At 37.1% G+C, this 14,784-nt stretch overlaps 1 protein-coding gene across 11 annotated transcripts in view; it reads left to right on the top strand.

The window, feature by feature from the left end:
• PLD1 (phospholipase D1) overlaps window positions 1-11,421 on the top strand; it is a 210,080-nt gene extending 198,659 nt beyond the window's left edge. For 8 of the 11 annotated variants that reach the window (NM_001130081.3, NM_002662.5, XM_047448316.1 and 5 more), the window contains 2 exons: window positions 6,409-6,526; window positions 8,523-11,421. In NM_001130081.3, the coding sequence (NP_001123553.1) occupies window positions 6,409-6,526; window positions 8,523-8,747 (343 nt within the window). In that variant the 3' untranslated portion in view covers window positions 8,748-11,421. Of the gene's footprint in view, window positions 1-190; window positions 360-3,458; window positions 3,525-6,408; window positions 6,527-8,522 lie in introns of those variants that run through there. The other 3 variants (XM_047448317.1, XM_011512897.2, XM_011512898.2) reach the window with 2 other exon arrangements.

Raw genomic sequence — 14,784 nt, 5'->3', positions numbered from 1 at the left:
TACAGACGTGAGCCAATTAAATACTAGTCCTTAACTGAATTAGGACTAGACCAGGTCAAACCCTCCAGCTTCCATTTAAGTTTTTAAAATCAAATTAATTCCAGTAATACAAGGATATAATAAAAATTATTGAAGGGGTATGCCAGTGACTGCTGGTGTAAAATTTAAATGTGGAAACTTCTGTTTTCAGGTCTAAAATGACTCCAGGTGTCGAAGATCCCTGATCTTTGGCAAGAAGATGCAAATTTTAAACTAATCTGTGGTGAAGCAGAGAGAATACTGGGCTAGGAAGCTGGGCTCGTTTCAGCTGTGCGATCCTAAATAAGTCCATTCAATAAAGTGTTATTTAGAACTTTCAAGGGCTGCGCTGTAACTGTCCACGTCCCCTGTTGTGTTTTCTCAACACAGTGGTCCCTCTAGAACCTTCTAGATCATGTTGCTTCTCTGCTCACTACTGTCCAATGGCTTCTTATCTCACAAGGAACAAGTAATATAATCTCGTCTCCTTTCACTGTTTCCCTTGCTCCCTGCAGACACTCATTTCCCCACCGGCTGTGGAACACCCTGACTACTCTCCCAACTCTAGGCCTTTGTAGGAAGTCCACAGTTTTATGATTCTAGAACTATATTTGCCATAATGCAATTTTGGTGAGGACTGTATAGTGGGATGCAGCAGGTGGCCCCGATATAGTTAAGATCAGTGCGTTATGCCCTTTCGGGAAGGGCACTGCGCTGCAGCCTGTTGTTTTCTTTGTGTTAAATGGTCCCTTTTGGAAACTGGCTCACTTGCAGATGGGCGCTTAGTGAGCACTTAACTCCCGGCAAAGGCAGAGGCCACTTCGCTCATTCCTACCAATCCAGACTTCGGCTTCCAAGACCAACATAAGCCTCAGTTGTAGAGACATTCTGCTGTCTCTGTCTAAGTAGCTCAAAAAATCCATCCCTCAAAATCTATCAATACCTTCTAACAACTTTTATTGCTGTATTTATTGCCTTTGTTACTACTTGATTTGCCAGTAAGAAGATTTTCAAACCATTGATAATTCAATTAGCTTCTAATGGTAATTTGTTTTGTTTAGCAGAGGAGAATTTAAAAATTGGTACCCTGCTAATTAACCCATTGATTGCCTACTGCGGCATACATAAAAGACAAATACTTCCTTTTGTAAGCTGGAATGTATGTTATATCTTTTCAGTTCCGTAAGAACTTAAGAATTCTCTTTAAAGTCATGAGTTTCTTTATAACTTTTTAAATGTGTAATAATTATAGAAGGTAGAGGTTTTTGATTACAGCACATTTTTATGTACAAATTTGGCAAATACAGAAAACCAGTAAGAAAATTAAATTCATCTGTAATACCATCACCTTGTGATAACAGTTTTAACATTTGGTATATGTCATTCCACTTTTTTCTATACATAGATATTAATATATTGTATTCCCTTTTTAAAACAAAATTAGAATTTTGCAGGCCTACATGTTTTTTATTATTTAAACAATGTTACACACATTTTCCATGTCATCGAGTATTCTTCTACAATATGTTAATGGCTACATTATATTTTATTGTATGTGTATGCCATAATTCCTTTAATCCCTCATTGTTTGGCAGATATTTTTGCTGATATAAAAAAATGGGTATGTTTGTAGATACCTTCTTGTTCACCTTCTTTATTGTCTCCTTTGATCTCTTATTATATCACTGGCAATATTTTAGAGGGCTTATTCCTTCTATCTTGACTGAGTTTATTTAATCTTCACCAATTTGTTAGATTTCACATGGAATTTCACCATTTTAATTCACATTTTTTAGAATTAAAAATATGTTTATTAGCCATGTATAATTTTTTTCATAAATTGCCTAGTTTATTTGTATCCTTTGCCCATTACGATGGAAGGTTTAACTTTCTTTTTTTATTATTTTTATACAATTAAGGAGTACAGGTACAGTTTTGTTACCTGGATACATTGTGTAGGGGTGAAGTCTGGGCTTTTAGTGTAACTGTCACCCAAATAGTGTACATTGTACCCATTAGGTGATTTCTCATCCTTCACTCCACCTCTACCCACCCACCTTTTGGAGTCTCCAACGTCAGTTATTCCACTCTGTACATCCATGTGTATGTACTGTTTTGCTCCCACTTATAAGTGAGAACACGCAGTATTTAACTTTCTGTTATTTCATTTAGGATAATGGCTTCCAACTCCATGCATGTTGCTACAAAATACATGATTTCATTCTTATTTATGGCTGAGTAGTTTTCTCTGGTGTGTGTGTGTGTGTGTGTGTGTGTGTGTGTGTGTGTGTGTGTGTGTTTTCTTTATGTAATTGTCTGCTCAGGACATTTAGGTTGATTCCAACACTGTGCTATTGTGAATAGTGCTGTGATAAACATACAAGTGCAGGTGTCATTTTTAGGACAACTTAGGTAGATACCCAGTTGTGGGATTGTTGTATTGAATGATAGTTCTATATTTAGCTCTTTGAGAAGTGTCCATACTGTCTCCTATAGAGGTTATACTAATTTCTGTTATCACCAACAGTGTATATGCATTCCCTTTTCTCCACATCCTCACCAACAGCTGTTGTTTTTTGACTTTTTAATAATAGTCATTCTGATTGGTGTGAAATGGTATCTTGTGTGGTTTTAATTTGCATTTATCTGATAATTAATGATGTTCAGCATTTTTTTATGTTTGTTGGCTGCTTGTGTGTCTTCTTTTCAAAAATGTCTTTTCCATTGTCTTTTGCCCACTTTTTAATGGGGTTGTTGTTTAACTTTCTTTTAATGATTTATAAGTATTTTAAATATGTGTAGGATGCTTATTCCTTTGTCATATGTGTTGCAAATTTTGTTTGCCTGTTGGCTTTTAGTCATCTTTGGAGAATTTGGGGGAAATTTTTCAATTCTTATTAATCAAATCAATCTGTTTTTTTCTTTTTTTTCCCCACCTGCCTTTTTCTGTATGCTTAGAATAGCTTCCTCAGCCTAAGATTAAACATTTACTTGTGTCTTCTCCTGGTGCTTGTTTGGTTTTACTTTTTACAATTAACATCTGCAGTGTATTTTAGTGTAAGAAGTGAGGTCGGGGTCCTGACTCTTTTTCTCAACTAACCAGATGATCTGGAACCTTACGATACGTAGTAGGACTCTTCGCCTCTCTTATCTGCAGTCCACCTTTAAGATACACTGAATCACTATCTGTTCTGGCTTCTCGCTAGTCTCTCTGTTATGCCATATTGAAAGTCTGTTTACTTGCATGCCAGTGTGATACCATGTAATTATTGTGGCTGTGCATTTTAAGACTACTTTTTGCCATACCACTTCTTCAAATTAGTATTCTTTTTCAAAATAATCTTGGTTATTCATAAACATTAATTCTTCCACATGGACTTTAGAATTGTTTACTCACGTTCTCTCAAGTTCTTACTAGTTTTATAAAATTGGAATTATAGCGGATTTATAGATGAAGAAAAGAACTGACACCTTTATAATATTGAGTCATCTTGTTGAAGAACAAGGTATGGACTTCAATTTATATGAATATTTTATTGTTCTTCAATAAAGCTTTGGGTTTTTATTATTGGTGGGGAGGAAGATTATTCTACAGTAAATAATTCATTTTTTTAATGCTGATCTTATGCTAACTTTGTTTCTAGGTGCTTTCTTTTACTTCGCATTTTTCAAATTGTGTTAAAGAGGCAGTTGTTCTTCAATAATTATTTTCACTTTGCCCCAATGGCAAACACAGATAATATATTTAAAAGCACCACAAAAACATTGCGTCAATTTTAGCCTCTTTTTATTAGGAAACATTCCCAAAGATAAATATTGTGGCCTAGACTACAACCATTTTTTTCACTTAAAAAATGCAGTTTCACTCCATTTTCCATCTGGCCTATTTTAAAATAGAAATAGAGAGACTTATTTCAATGTGAAATCAATTCTAAATAGAGACAGAATCAAACATGCACTAAATTTCACAGCTATAAGCTGAACAGTTCAAGTCCTAGAAAATTATCCAAACTTTGCAGATATAACCATCACTCAAGAGAAACCATTGTCCACACAATTAGGACTCAGAATCATTTAAAGTGATAGATATGAGGAACGGAAAGAACAGAAATAATTTTTTGTGGTTTTCCTACTGTCCCACTTTTTTTGATGAATAAGCAAATATTAAATAATTTTCATTAAATACATCAACATAAAATTAAACTAGTTTTCTCTCAAACTTTAGTCCTCAAAAGAACATCCAGAGTACTTCATATTATTTTTACTCTGCATTTAATATAAATTTCTTATAATTAAAATACTGCCAGGGAAAATAATATATTGCCTATTTTAGACTTATTTAAATACTTTTTCTACAAACAAGCCCTTACCTGATAGTTTGGTGGACACATTGGCTTATCTCTTGCTCTAATTTAAAAGCAAAGTTACAGAAAAACTCTTTCTGCTCAATTTTCAGCTTCTTAAATCTGGCCCAAATCAAAGGTATTATAATAATTGACTTACTGTCATCATTTGTACTGTCATTCACATTTGATGCAGTAAAATTGTGCTTTGGGTCTCAATTAGCAGCCAATGTCTATGTGCAAACATCTCTTAAATCTTTTTTTAAAAAAAGTTATTCTCGTGTAGTCTGAAGGAGGCACATTATTTGAAGTGGAAACAGAACTTTGAGGTTATAAAAGTCAAGAATCCTAGAAAGCCTATGGTGCCAGATCCATTTTAAAAAAATTTTTATACAGTGGAAAAAGTGCAGACTAAAACTAAAATGAGTGTCCTTTAATATCTACAGACTTGAACTTTTTCGTGAGTTGATAATGTTGGAGAAAACTGGGAAAATATTCATGCTTAATAGTGTATGTTTTGGTACAGCCTTTCTTGCAGTAATTTGAATATTCTCTGACCCAGGAATTCTAATTCTAAAATTTCTTCTTATGAAATAATCACAGAAATGTACAAAATCACATATGATGAATAAACTGTGTTCATTGTAACACTGTTTATAATAATGAAAAATTGGAAATTACCCAAAAGTCCATAATGAAATAATTGGTTCAATAAATTTCACGTGATAGGAAACTCTGCAGCCATTAAAATGATGATGCAAATCTACATTTATTTAAATACAAGGAGGGTAACAATATAATGATGTCCAGTTGTTAAAGCCGGTGGTCAATTCTTATCTGAATTGGACAGTTCTCCTTGACATACTTCTTTGTGTGGTTTCAGGATTCCACATCCTCTGGCTTTTCTCCAGCCTCGCTGGTTCCTCCTCCTCTCCCTTACTGTTGATATACACCCGGTCCTCTTCTCTGTCTATACTCACTTATTTGGTGAACTCAGAAAAAAACATTCAGCCTATGAGCATGTGCATGAGGACAATTCTCAGATTTATATCTCTAAACAAGCCTTCTCTCCCAAACCCCAGTTCCATTTATCTACTGCCTACTCAGCACTGCCACTTGCATCTTTAATAGATGTCTCAACAGGCTCAAAATCGAATTCCTGATCTCCCACAAACCAGCTCTACCCACAGAATTCCCTATCTCAGCTAAAGGCGACTACAGCTGTACATTATTATAGTTGCTCAAGACAAAAACCTTGTAGTCATCTTTGATGCCTCACTTTTTGACACACCCTACATTCACTCTATCAGTAAAACCTGTTGGCTCTATCTTCATCTCCACTGCCACCCAGGCCCAAGCCACCATCATACCTCACCTGGATTATGGGAGTAGCTCCTAAATGGGCTCCCTGTTTCAACCCTTGCCCCCCAGAGTGTGTTCTCAATACAGCAGCCGTATTTTAATATGTAAGTCAGATTCTGTCACTCCTCTGCACTGATGTCTACACTCTCCATTTCACTTAATATAAAAACCAAAGCCTTACAAGGCCAATTTTCCTATTGCTCTTTCCAAATAGCACAGGTCTTCTTGGTATTATTTCAGCCTATCAAGTATGTGGGAAAAGGGCTTTGCCCTCAGTTTGAGTTCTAACTCCATTACTAGTGTGCCTCGAGACTTTAGTTTCCTATCTACAGAATGAGAATCATCTGTCCCGCCTACCACACAGGATTAAGGTGGAAGTGCTTTTTAATCCTAAAGCCTTCTCTAAGTACAAGGGTTATTATAATTTTCAAATATCACTTCTAAAACTTGTCTTGTTTGCTTGAGAATTTTTTGTTATGTCTAGTCCGCTGTTTATGTGTGGTCAATTCAGACAATAGTTTCTTTTATGTCAGGCACTCTGAGGATATGAGAGTAGCTAGGTCATGGTCTCTCAAATAATTTGCATATATATATTTGCATATATAGAGATAGATATAATAGACATATATCCTGCAACAAACTGCTTTATCTCAGTTACTCAATGTGGAGGTCACTTGTATTTCAGGGTTGTCCTTGGCTATCTTGATGACCCAAGTGAGGACATTCAGGATCCAGTGAGTGACAAATTCTTCAAGGAGGTGTGGGTTTCAACAGCAGCTCGAAATGCTACAATTTATGACAAGGTGAAGTTCACGTATTCCCCTCCTCCGTTTCTTTTCACTGAATCTCATCACAAAAAGCATATTGTTATTTCTGCATATTATTGGTACAGGGTATTCTTAATAAACGTAAAAAAGCTAATACATGTCCAGGTTGTAATAAAATACCTCTTTGTGGACCCTGAAAAACAAAGGCAAAAAGCATTGTGGATTTTGGTTTAGAAGAGGCTTTAGCAGCATTCCAGTCTCTCCTGTGATGCAGGAATCCCATCAGCAGCATCCTTAGCACCTGGTTACCCAGCCTTTGTACATGTCTAGTGACAAAGAGAAGAGGGGCAGATGGCATAAAAAAACAAGCCACAGCTGAGTCCAGCCTAGCTCACCCCGTTGCTGGTGTTATAACCTTGTGTATAGTGACTTAACTTTCTGAGTTTCTTTTTCCTCTCCTATAAATTGGGAGGAATATTCACAAGGGTAGTTATGAGGACAAAGAATAGTCTAGTGAATGGTTTTAGCACATAGTGTATAGTAAACAGTATTCATCCTTATGATGAATCTTGTTAATATTAATAACAAGACATGTCATTTGTTGGACAGCTCTAGTTTTAGAAAGGTGTTTTAAAACCGGCTCCATTTGATGCATACCAAATGCATTGCCTGTGAAGTCTATCCTTTGGTTATAATAAAGAATGTAAAAGAGTTAAGAGTTGCGTAACAGTAGAACAGCTTACTTCGAAAAGTAGCTAGTTGCCCATCAGGGAAAACTATTCAAGCTGTGTTCTAGCCCAGACTAATTGACCATCTGTGAGAAGTTGGATAAGTCTGTGTTCTTCTTCATGACTTCCAGGGACAGACGTGAACCTCTTTAAAAAAAAAAATTAGGGAAAATACGCAATTTTTCTCTTAGAGCCCCTTCCAGCAGAGAAACTTATTATTCTTAATGAAACATGTCTACTGTCTGTATAACCTTGTTTCTTTTCTTTCTTTCCTTTTTTTTTTTTTTTTAATTGACATGGAGTCTCACCCTGTTGCCCAGGCTGGAGTGCAGTGGCATGATCTCGGCTCACTGCAATTTCTACCTCCTGGGTTCAAGTGATTCCCCTGCCTCAGCCTCCCGAGTAGCTGGGCCTACAGGTGCCCACCAGCACACCCAGCTAATTTTTGTATTATGATACAGGCTGGTCTTGAACTCCTGACCTCAAGTGATCCGCCTGCCTTGGCCTCTCAAAGTGCTAGGATTACAGGCATGACCCAATGCGCCTGACCCCTGTATAACCTTATTTCATCCTTATTTCATGGACCGAAGGCCATGATCAAATAGGTCATGTGCATAGAGTCATTAAAATGTAATTTTACAAATGCAGTGCACAGCCTTATTTGGGTCCTGGATTTGGGGGAAAACATCTATAAAAGACATTTTGGGGATAACAGGATAAATCTGAATATGAAGCATAACTTAAATGACATTATATAATTAATTTTCTTAGGTGTGAGAATAGTGCTGTGATTATATAGGCACATGTCCTTATTCTTAAGACATACCTGCAGAGAAGTATTCAGGGGTGAAGTGTTATGATATCCAAAACTCATTTTCAACCAGCAAAGTAAGTGTTACATATTAACAATTGATAATGCTATGTAAAGGTACAGATATGAGCCTCTTTCAAGAAAAGTTAGGGAAAATATAATATGCAATATTCCTCTTAGACCAGAAGCTCCAGTGAAATTCAGGGATGATTATTATCCAAAAAAAATTAACCTTAATGTGGGGTAACATTAGTGTAATTTCTTGCCACTAACCATGATTTTTTAAATGGAAGCAGATCTATCTGTTTGTAGCAGATCTATCTATTGTTGGTTATAAGATAACCAACTCTTAAATCAGGTCTGTGCTGTAACATAAGACTAATAATATGTTTCATACAACAGAGGTCTTGTCTGTTGGAATAATTATTTTCCATAAAGGCCATGTGCTCGCTTTTAAACTTTTCACTCATTTTTCTATTTATGCTCTAATCAGGTTTTCCGGTGCCTTCCCAATGATGAAGTACACAATTTAATTCAGCTGAGAGACTTTATAAACAAGCCCGTATTAGCTAAGGAAGATCCCATTCGAGCTGAGGAGGAACTGAAGAAGATCCGTGGATTTTTGGTGCAATTCCCCTTTTATTTCTTGTCTGAAGAAAGCCTACTGCCTTCTGTTGGGACCAAAGAGGCCATAGTGCCCATGGAGGTTTGGACTTAAGAGATATTCATTGGCAGCTCAAAGACTTCCACCCTGGAGACCACACTGCACACAGTGACTTCCTGGGGATGTCATAGCCAAAGCCAGGCCTGACGCATTCTCGTATCCAACCCAAGGACCTTTTGGAATGACTGGGGAGGGCTGCAGTCACATTGATGTAAGGACTGTAAACATCAGCAAGACTTTATAATTCCTTCTGCCTAACTTGTAAAAAGGGGGCTGCATTCTTGTTGGTAGCATGTACTCTGTTGAGTAAAACACATATTCAAATTCCGTATACCAAAATCCATTTCCTTTGTAACAAGAATTTACCAGTAACTGTGATCTAGGTTGCCAAAAGTTGTCTGAATCTCCTTATTCTTCTCTGATCTTCATTTATGCAGCCAATGTCTAGCTGGACCTGCCCTCATCTTGCAGTTCATACAGGCACTGTTTGAGAGATTGTTTATTATTAGATGTTGTAATGCTGCTTCAAGATTCTTCATGGTTACATGGGATGCCCCTGCTCATCTGGTCCTGAAGTAGTAACATTCACCCAAATGAGGATATAGTCATTATTCCTTTTCAGTCACTGTACGAACACGGCAGACTTTAGCCTACACAGTAGACTGTGTTAGGCACTTCTGGTAACATTGACACTGTATCTTGACACCACTAAGCAACAGGAAGGAATAAATTCCAATATTGAGACAGAGATTTATTTCATTTTGCTCCCAAAGGCACTGACAACATGAGTCCTTGTGATTAGGCCCACCTGATCAAATGTAAAAACATGCATGGGATATTTGATTACGTAACAACCAGCTAAAACTGAGAGCACACAGCCTTCGGAAACCCCCAAGGTGTCGAGGAGGATCAGATCCAGATAAGAGAAGATGATTCCTTCTAGTCCTGTAAAATTTCCTGTCATCCTTAGCTGCTGGGTTGATTGAAATTTGATCTCTACATTTCAAAATCAAACTAGTGAATACAGTTTGTCTTTCAAGAGAATCAGAGGCATCGTAACTCCTACCAAGTTAGTAAGTATGAGTCTAACCTTGTTTGACATTCAGGTCTTCTGCTACATTATCTTCTTTGAGAAAAATTAATTGATTATAAAATATGTGCTACTTCACTTACATTATTAAATATGTATTAACGCCTCTCACCAGGGCTTCCAGTGAAGTTACAATGCCCTAGTCTGTGAATTAGTCTGGAAACGTGTTTTTCCTTTTCGGATGTTAGAGTACCCTTTGATAAACTAAATTTTACTAAGCTGAACAACTCTGACAGTCTAAAGAGCTAATGTGGGTTACCAAAAGGCCTGTACCTGTAAAACAAAATGCAGGTGTAATGATTATACATGTCTATGGATTACCTGGACATACTCTCATTTGGGTTGTTCTTCAAAGAAGCAAGCAGCCGATCCCTGTTTTCATAAAGCTAATACTTCAGTTGGAAAAATTAAACAGGAGCACAAAGTCAGGGATAGGGGTTAGCAGAAGAGAGAAATAGTGTCACATCAAGGGCAGGATCTCATAGCTAGGGAACATTTCACAAATAAGGTGAGATTTTGTAACCAATAATAAAAATGAATGTTTTTATAAGTAAATAACTTATTTTTCATATGGCTAAAGATGGTAAAATGACTTCATTCTATAGCCATTGTAAATAAGAATTTGCTATTGATGAAAGAAGTTCAGATTGGCATTTGAAGTATTGAGTGTATGGGATCTCTAAGGATTTCTTAGATTTTATATTTAAATATTTTTTAAACCTTAGAGGAGTCAACAAACTGGCTCTTGATTTTCAGCACCCTACTCTCATGAAAAAAGCCTGAAAGGACCCTTTCCCTTATAAGTAATTTAATCCAATTTCTCCCCATTTTATAGATGAGGAAACTGAGGCTCAGATCAGATGAGAACTCACTTAAATCCACTCAATGTGTAGATGGTAGAGCTGGGACTAGCAACATTGCTGCAGCCCATTGTTGGCCTCTCTCTTCACTTTATCATTGCCCAAGAATGAGGATATGCAGTAAACAGAATTCAGGCAAGATACCTCTAAGCTGTTTTGAACCCTCTGATATTTTGTATTTATGTGTTTGTCTGTCTCCCCCTACTAGAATGTAAGCTCCATGGGGCAGGGACTTCACTGTATTTTGTTCATAGTGTATCCCCAGAGCCTGGACCAGTGCTTGGCACATAGGAGATGGCAATAAATGCTTGTAGAATTAATAAACAAGGTGAAGGAGAGAGCTAATGAAATGAAAATCTTAGTCTCATATAAGAAGTCTTACTACTGCTTTCTATGGCAAGTTCCTTTTCTATTGCATCTTCCCAAAGACAAGATGCTCATCTGCAAAGGGGTGATAAGATTTACTTGGAGGGATTTTATGGAAAATTCAGTGCAATAATTGCTTTTTTTTTTTTTTTTGCAGTAGCAGTTTACATAGTACAGCATTCTGCAAAAATTGCATGAAATGTGGACACAAGATGTACTGTATGACTTAATTACCTGTCATTCTCTGACACCATTACTACCTACTAGAAGTTCAAATAATTTATCTTTAACATTGCAATATCTGATAAACTTTTTAAAATGTAAATAATTCAAAGCCTTGAAAATCTATCATGAATCTGCTCAACATTTCAAAGTGACTATTTTGAAATGCCTATAAATGCTATATACCTGACATCCTGCTAATTTCTGTAATAATTTTTGTTTTCAAGAGGGAAAAATTCTAGTATTACAAAAAATGAATGATGGAAAGTGGCCATGGTGTATTAAAGCTATTCAGATTGGCCACGTTCAGTCGTCGGAGGATAGCCTTAGCATAGCAAGTCTGGTGCGGGCGTTTGTTCTGAATCTAGTGTCCAGCCCATGACTCACCCTTCGGTGGGATGTTTTTAATTCTTACCTGGAATGCATCACAGGGAGGCATAGAGAGCTGGTCATTAGATAATTGTGTGGCATACTGTAAAACAAAATGTTTATTTTCAAAGCACTTTTGAAAGGAAATTTTGTCTGTAAGTACTCAAAATATGGACAGTTAATTTCTTATGTAAGAACTTGGGAAATTATAATATCATGAATTAATACTTTTCCAGACAAAAACAACAAGCTGAGAAGTCATTTTGCGGATATAAGACTAGGAAAAATAGATTTATGTATATAGAGCCTGAACTTTTTCTGCATCTCCTCATTTCTTTTTTTTTCTTTTTCTTTGTTTTCTTTTCTCTTTTTTTTTTTTTTTTTTTTTTTTTTTTTTGAGACTGGGTCTTGCTCTGTGGCCCAGGCTGGCAGTGGTGTGATCTCAGCTCACTGCAGCCTCTGCCTCCTGGGCTCAAGCAATCCTCCCACCTTAGCCTCCTGAGTAGATGGGACTACAAGTGCATGCCACTACACCCAGCTAATTTTCGTATTGTTTGTACAGATAGCATTTTTCCATCCCAATGCCAAGCAGGCGGATTGCTTGAGCTCCCTCCCCTGTGCTGGGATTGCAGGCGTGAGCCACCGCACTGGCCTCCTCATTCCTTATTCCTTCAGTCTCTATCCCCTACCACAGCACCTTCTTGTTATGTAAAAATTATTTCAAAAGACAAGAAAAAGTATTCTGGAAAAAAAATCAGGCCTTATATTAGTCTGCTCAGGCTGCCAAAACAAGATGCTCTAGACTGGGTGACTTAAACAACAGAAATTTATTTTCTGACAATTCCAGAGACAGGAAGTTGGAAATCAAGGTGCCTGTATGGTAGGTTTCTGGTGAGGACTCTTCCTGGCTTGTCGGCCACCTTCTTACCGTGTGCTCACATGGCCTGTTTGTGTGAGCACAGGAGGCAGAGGGCAAGCTCTCTGGTGTCTCTTCTTCCAAGGCCACTAATCCTATAATGAGCACCCTACTCTCATGACGTCATCTAACCTGAAATTACTTTCCAAAGGCCCCATTTCCAAATACCATCACATCAGAGATATGGGCTTCATATGAGCTGGGAGGGAAGACACAAACATCATTCAGTCTATAATAAATATTCACTTAACTCATACTTTAAAGTGACTGACAAAATAGAATTTTTTCACATAGGTCATTGTTCTTTTTAACTTGCCTGATCTGATGTGGCACCTGAGCATTTTCTGGTACCTGTCACCCTCCGTAGCAGGGGTGACAAGGACCTGTCATGTCTCCTTAGTCCTCTGCTATTTCTTATACAAAAGGAGCAAATGCTAAAGGATTTTAAGTGTGCTTAGTATATATGTGTATTTCCTTGGACTATTCATTGAGGTCAACTACTACTGCAAGTTTGGTGATCTAAAATGAGTTTACCCAGGCCTAGGCCTTGAGAGATTCTTGAATCTAGAAGTCCACTGGAAAAGGAATTCATCCGCCTCTATGAATAAGATGCAAGTAGAAGAATCAATAGATATGCATTTTTTTAAAAAGGGGCAAGTATCATAATATGATTCTTACTGTCAATTTAATTCATATATAAGATGTTCCTGGTTTTCACTTGAGATTGGAAGGATTCATTAAAGGAGTCAAAAATTCCCAGCTTAATTTTATAGGTTATTTTATTTTTCCTTTATACCATTCATAATTTTTAATTTAAAAGTAATCAAACCCTGGATAAATGAAAATCTATCACTAATCATTTTATTTTATTTTATTTTATTTTTTATTTTATTTTATTTTATTTTGAGATAAAGTTTCACTCTTGTCACCTAGGCTGGAGTACAGTGGTACAATCTTGGCTCACTGCAACCTCTGCTTCCTGGGTTCAAGCCATTCTCCTGCCTCAGCCTCCCGAGTAGCTGGGATTACAGGTGCCTGCCACCACACCTGGCTAATTTTTTTTTTGTTGTTGTTTGTTTGTATTTTTAGTAGAGACGGGGTTTCATAATATTGGCCAGGCTGGTCTCGAACTCCTTACCTCAGGTGATCCACCCGCCTTGGCCTCCCAAAGTGCTGAGATTACAGGCATGAGCCACTGTGCCTGGCCACACTAATCATTTTAAACCTTTACGTTTTAAAATTAGGTTCAATGGTAGTCCAACCAAAACATGGGCTCAATCAGTCTTCCCTATTTCCAAGCAACTGTCATTCTTCACTTTATTCTAGATAAGTGCATTTAAGTGAATGTCATTCTAGCTCTGTGTAATGCTAAGAAATACAACATCATACCCTCCCAATGTATATTCCACTTGGATTCTTCACATAAAATGGACTACACCAACAGCACTGATGCTCTGCATTTTAAAAATTCATACCAAATTATTCCAGTTGGAGCACACACACACTCTGACACAGAAAGCAAATATTGGATGATGAACATCCATTCAGAATATCCAGATATTCTGGAGAGAACTGGAGCTCATAGCCTTCCCTCTAGGGCAGGTTTGGCAAACTAAGTCTGGGCCTCCTGTTTTTGTAAATAAAATGTTATTGAAACACAGCCACACCCATTCATTTATATGCCCTCATGATTGTATGATCCATAAATCCTAAAATATTACTATCATTAAGACAAAACTTGCTGATCCTTCCTACAGAAAGCAGAAGATATCCAGACAGGGTACCTCAATCAGGCAGATTTGGAGGAGTTTTAATCTCCTCCATCAGTAGAGTTTTCAATTCTCCCTATCCCAGGCCCCAACAGTTTACAATGTGTTTATTATAAGAACATAGCCAAATCCTTTCAGGAATTAAAATTACATGGTTTTTGGTTCTGAAAGAGAAGTGGTCGGCTAAAGCAGGTATCTCCCAGACAAGCACTCATCAACATGCATGGTGGAACATGCTTGTAACTGAAGTGTAATGCATATGAGGAGGGATAAGCCTAAGTGTTGTATTTATAATTGGAATTGTGAAATCAAGAAACTTGGTTTCCCTGAATTGTCCTTCTGTGAAGTGTTGGAAATGATACATGTATCCCTTCGTAGCTTCACAGTCAATGCTTTCTATATCCCTTAACTACTTTTTCTTTAAATATCAATTAATTGAGCAATGAAAAGTGTGAAATCAGCAGTGTGCCTCTATTTGAAAATAAGATTCCTCTTTCTG

This window comes from Homo sapiens, chromosome 3 (genome assembly GCF_000001405.40).
Source record: "Homo sapiens chromosome 3, GRCh38.p14 Primary Assembly".
NCBI classification, from domain to species: Eukaryota; Metazoa; Chordata; class Mammalia; order Primates; family Hominidae; genus Homo; species Homo sapiens.
This window is presented reverse-complemented; position numbering and strand designations above follow the sequence as displayed.